Below are 6,517 nucleotides of genomic sequence, written 5' to 3' on the forward strand. Positions count from 1 at the left end.
GGAAAGAGGAAGGGAAAGGGGAAGGAAAGAAAAAAAAATTGTACAATAAAAAAGGGTCTAATGAAAATATAGAATATCATCTCTCTTTTTCCCTCATGAAATATAGACTGAGAATGAATGAATCCATTTGGATAGAATGGAATTTCTTGGAACAAGTATTTGTGGTTGGAATGGCTCCTGTAAAAGTTGTGTAACTCTCTGTTCATCATTCAGTGGGTTTTGAGCGTTTGAAATGGGCTGGGTGTGGTGTGAGATAGACACCTATCGCAGACAGCTTCATCTTTAAGCACGTACTCTGTGCCAGGCACCATGCCAAGGGCTTTAGTGCACTATCCCATTTGTGTCTCACAATGGTGTTGAAAAGTGGATAATTTTAAGCCTATTTACAGATGAGGAAACAGAGACCAAGTAAGCGCTTAAGTAATTTGCCCCGGGACATGTATCTTTTAAGTGACCGAGCCAGAATTTAAATCCACACTTTTTGTACTCCCAAGTCTGTTTCTAAGTCACAGAGCTTCTTCTCTAGTCTTCACATCCTGCTTGGCCAGAGAGGACATTTACATAAGAGGCAAAGCGAAGGAGCTGCCTCTGTGGAGAGACTCCTTTGTATATTGGATCATATCATTTTTATAATTGAGTTCTGTGAAGTGAAGGAGGCATTGTCATTTCCATTTCTCAGATAGTGAAACTGAGGTGCAGCTGGGTAGACTGGCTGGCAGGAAGATGAGGGCAGGACAACTGCTCAGGTGCTCTGGGAATGTTTTCTCAGGAGTTAGCCTTGAGGTTGAGGTAGTGTGGGTTTATTTTCTCCTTTCTGATGACTGGCAAGAAAGGTATTAGTGCAAAGTAGTAAAAGCAAAGTCTCGGTAGTCAAATGACTTTGGCTGAAACCCTACCATAACCTCCAGGGAGTCAGTCAGCTTCTGCTGGTAAGCCCCAGGCTCTCCATTAGGAAAGCATGGCTAAGAATTGTGCTTATTTCAAATGGGTGATGAGAAGATTTGATGCTTTAAAGTTTAGCAGTGTGCATTGTCTTAGCAAGCACCATAGAAATTTTAATTAGCACATCATCATTGCCATCATCATCATCATCAATTTTACTGTCTAGCAGCAATGGGAACTTGAATTAGCCAGCCAAGATGGAGTCAATTCATGAATTAATATGCACATGAAAAATCCTAGGCTCGCCACCTCTTTTCTGTTTCACCCTAGGTCAGTCACGTGACGCTCCTTCCCCTCTTTGGGCTTCAAAATTCTCATCTCTAAAGTGGGGCTAATAAAGATTTCTGCTGTTTCACCCCTTTGCAGGGAGGTCCCAATTTTTCAGTGAGGTAATGAAAGAGAAAGTCTTTTTGCAAACTCTAAAGCGGACTGGGTATATAAAGAGCCTGTGTTGCTAATTCATCTGTAAGTATTTTTCTATTTTTTAAATAACTAACATTCATGCATAAATATACTTTCATTGTGGATATAAAAGACAAAAATATAGACAAAACGAAAGTCCTCTGGACTCATTTTTATATGCTTACCCTGGGCTCTCCCAATCTCTTCTTCAGAGGTCCCCCAGTATGTACCATCCCAATCCCTGTTTCTGTCATACTCAGTTTGTTGTTGTTGTTATTTAACATTTTGCTTTTCTAATGAAATATGTGGCAAAGTGGTTAAGTGGTGGGTTCAGGACTCGAACTGCCTGAGTTTGAATTGTAGCTCTATCATATTTTAACAACGTTGATAAGTTGTTTTTCCTCTCCGGTCAATTTTCTTCTCTGTAAAGTGAGTGCACGAACTCAGGACTTTGTTGTGAGGATTGACTACGTTAATGCAGCACCCAACATTTAGTGATTCTCAGTATATGCTAATAGTGTTATTATTGGACAGGTAAGTTAATGAAGACTTGGGTCGTACTTGAATCCTTCACACTTAGCCTGTTGCCAGGTGCCCAGTGGGTGATTGATAAACATTTATTCGGTTGGTAGAAGAATGCTACATTCATTTTTATCTGAAGATGCCACTAAGGAGTGGGGAAAGCTCAGTAGAACGACTATTAAAATGAAAATAGCCTACATTACTCGAGTGAAAACTCTGCACCAGACAAGCCCCGAATACTCAGTAAATACTGACTCATTCAACACTCACAGAAACCCTAAACAGTAGATCTTATTATTACTGCTCTCATTTTATCAGTGAGTGAACTGACTCACAGGTTAAATCTCTTGCACATGGTCATATAGTCTGAATTCAAACCTGGCCAGTGTGTGGCAGGGAGGAACTTTTGTTCCTGGCACAGGAACTTTTCATTTCTCTCCAATCCTGCTTTTCTACCCATAAAAGTATGTTAACCGACTTCTCATGAAGATGCTGAGTAACCTGGCTGGTAATAACCACGCAATGGTTTCTCCACTTGTCTATCTGGGTTGCTAGTATTCACTCTCTCCCCTCTAAATGATGAACATCATGATGCAAGACATAAAAATCAGTTAATATTGCCTTTGAGAACTTATGCATGACAGTGACCAGACAGTCTGAGAAAGGTGTTGAGATAATTTGGCAGGTTGAAGCCTGATGGGTTGGGTAAGGCTGCTATCCGGAGAACCACTTCTATACTTAGAGCCTGTTGAACTTCAAGACCTAGCTTACCATCCTGAACTGTGTTCAGAAGTGATACAGAATGACTCAAGTGCTGATGAGAATCAGGGAAGAACTGAATGGGAAGGATTCTTAGTAGGCACATAATCCAGGAGTCTTAACAGGATTATCAATGGAATCAGGAAGGAAATTACCAAGTCTGTAAAATAAGATGTGAAATTGTGTATAAACACGGGGTAATATTCAGAGTCATTTAATAATGTATAGGAAATTGGGTAATGTTTAGAGTCATTTAATACTGTGCAGTTCATAGAAAACCAACAAATCAGAAAGGACTTTGATTCTATAGAACAGAAAGGACAGTGGTCCCAGAGAACAGCTATACTAGGGCTTATCTGTTGCCCATAAGACCAGGAACCAGGTCAGTTTCCATTTCCAATGTTCTAACAGGTTCTCAAAGAGAAAAATAAAAGATCTGTCTAAAGCAACACAGGAATTTAGTGGCAGAAGTGAGACCAGAGCCTGGACTCTTGAGTCCCACTAGAGCTCTTCAATCAGTGTAGTCTGTCCCATGGCCCTTACTGAACACTGCAAGAGCAGATCCAAGTGTGAGCTCATCATTTCTCAACATGACATTGTAAAATAAGTTTAAGTTTCCCTTTCTTCTGAGGAGCACAGTGTACTCTCCATAAACTAGGGCCACTGTCTAAAGTTATTATTATTTATTAACTGTTTGAAATTGGTGGTTTCACTATTCACAATAGCAACAATATGGAATCAATGTAAATGCCCATCAATGGCAGACTGAATTTAAAAAATGTGATTCATATACACCATAGAGTACTATGCTACCATAAAAAAAAATGAGGTCATGTCTTTTGTAGCAGCACAGATGGGGCTGGAGGCCATTATTCTAAGCAAACTAATACAGGAACAGAAAACCAGATACTGCAAGTTCTCACTTATAAGTGGGAGCTAAAAACATTGAGTACATGTGAACACAAAGAAAGGAACCACAGACAATAGGGCCTACTTGAGGGTGTATGGTGGGAGGAGGGTGAGGATAAAAAATATTGGGTACTATGGTTTATTACCTGGGTGACAAAATAATGTATAAATCGAACACTGCAACACACAATTTACTTATATAACAAAACTGCACATGTACCTTTGAACATAAAAGTTATAAAAATACAAAAATAAAAAAGGAAAAAATAATAAAATAAAATTAGTGTTTTTATGCGTGGTCCAAGTCAGTCCAGGGTCCGTATGCTCCCAGGATTATGTGATGCTTTCTCTCAATGTTCATTGTAATAGTGTTGCCTATGGACCTAAGTTTGGAGGGCTGGCCACTGTTGGTTCCCTTTATCAGTGAAGTTAAGGACTGACTTGAGGCACTGCACAGTAAATCTCCAGTTATCATAAAGGAACTTTCAAATTTCTCATTGCTGTAGTTTATCTTAAAGGTTCAGAATATGGACTTTGGAGCCAATTGTACTTGGTTTTTGATTGTTGCAAATTTATGCAGTAGTCTAAAGATGTTTTTCTTGTCTATAAAATGAAGATAATCATATTACCTGCCTCCTAGTGTTCTTATAAAGACTAAAAAATGTAATGTATAAACATTCACCCCATAAAACACCAATAAATGTCCACTATTCATAACAAAACTAATAATAATTTTAAGAATGAAAAATCATGCTAGTCAGCTAGCCAGGCATTAACATATTGTTGGGCACATAATTGACAATAGATAAATAAATAATTATTGATGAATAAATGAATTATCATCATCTGCAATAATAGAAGCAGCATTTTAGTAGAAAGCGTATTGGTTAGGAAATTCTCACTTTGGGATGATTTGGATGTGTAACTTTGGGAGAGTCCTTTCCCCTCTGTGGATCTTTATTTGTAAATTGGGAGTGTTAGATTTAACAAATTGTAAAGCACTTTCTGTTAAAACACACACACACACAAAAAAAAAAACTACAATGAGCTGGTGTGTCAGATACTAATGGCTAACTAACATCATCCTTATATACCATCTAGCCAAGTTTATGTCTATGTGACAAGCGAAGTAGCAACATAAGGCTGTGCATGACAGTGCTGGCTCAATGGCTTGGGGATTAGGTATGAGAGTTTCAGAAGAGGGAGAGATTAATTCTAATTGGTGGAAGGTATAAGGAAACTTTCCTGTAAGAGTCAGGACTTTCTTCAAATGAATTTTAAGAATTTGTAGGACTCAAACTAAGGTGTGGGAGAAGCATGGCAAAATTCTGGAAGTCAGACATACCTAAGGGTTATGGAAGTTTCACAGAGTTCACCAAATGTTCACTCAACTCCTAATCAGTATAAAACACAGAGGGTAGGCCGGGCGCGGTGGCTCACGCCTGTAATCACAGCACTTGGGAGGCCAAGGTGGGTGGATCATCTAAGGTCAGGAGTTCGAGACCAGCCTGGCCAGCATGGTGAAACCCCGTCTCTACTAAAAATACAAAAAATTAGCCAGGCGTGGTAGCGGTCACCTGTAATCCCAGCAACTCAGGAGGCTGAGGCAGAAGAATCGCTTGAACCCGGGAGGCAGAGGTTGCAGTGAGCTGAGATTGCGCCACTGTACTCCAGCCTGGGTGACAAGAGTGAGACTCCATCTTAAAAAACAAACAAAACAAAACAAAACAAAACAAAAAAAACAAAAAAACACAGAGGGTAAACCCCATGAGGGGCTGCAAAAGGCAAAAGACTGAGGTCTCATCTTTCAGAAGCTTGAAGTGTGGCATAGAATGGAATACAGCAGCATAAATCTAAAATACAGGAGGAAGGGATAAAAACTAATCCTCTAGGAATGATTTCTTTTAATGTTTCATCAAGAACAATGTTATGAAGATATACGCACTCCATTGAAGTCAAAGCACATAGGTTAGAGTTCTGCTTTGAACATATATCTTCTAGTTAGGTGATTCTGGGTAAATTGCTGCCTCTTTCTGAACCTGAGTTTCCTATCTTTTCAAACAGACAGCAAAACCTACCTATTTGAGTTGCTGTGAGGATGCAGGTTAGGTCCACGCATGGCACAGAGAAGGGGCTCAGCAAGTCATGCTATTCCCAATTGCTATAGATTGAGCTCATCACAAAGCATTGCTGAATTAGTTTCCCATGAGAAAGTCTTCACTGAAGAAAAATTAATTGCACGCCTTCAATCTCAGTTGATATAAAAGTGGCCAATTAGACAGAGATTCTGCAATTTCTGGAAAAAATTAAAAAAAAAAAAAAAACAGATCTGAAAGCATTGTCCATTATATGACTCAAGGCCTCTTCTCAAATAAACCACAAGATACATTTGTCCTGGAATTAAGCAGAAGGGGTTATCAAACGTTTCATTTTCCACTCAACAAAACACTGCAACATGTACTGAATGAAGAGAACGCCCACCATGGCCCATTTCTGATTTCTCTCAAAGCTTCCTCTTCCAGGGGATTATCGAGATACTTTCCTGATTAAAATTTAAAACAATAGCAAGATTAAAGGTGGATTAGAGGCAGGCCAGCCAAACAGCTAAGAATGTGAACTTTGGAGAGAGATAGCCTTGGTTCAAATGTGTCATGGAATCTCACCAACTTTTTAAAAATCTCAGTATTTTCAGCTTCATTTTTTTAATCTGAAAAATTGAAGAAAATAAGAAACATTACAGATTATAATTTGAGGATTAAATGAATGTAAAATTAAATATATGTAACCAATCAGAATAGTGTCTGTCACACTAAATCATAGCTAATTATTATTACTAAAGGAATAATAAATGAAATTTATAAAATAATATGCCTTTTTACAATTTTTTTAAAGCATGCAATGTAAATTAGTGGTCTTCATCTTTAATTAAAATTCTATGCATAAGAAATGCCTTGGGCACCTGAGACTAACAAAATAGGGCACC

This window comes from Homo sapiens, chromosome 9 (assembly GCF_000001405.40).
Source record: "Homo sapiens chromosome 9, GRCh38.p14 Primary Assembly".
NCBI classification, from domain to species: Eukaryota; Metazoa; Chordata; class Mammalia; order Primates; family Hominidae; genus Homo; species Homo sapiens.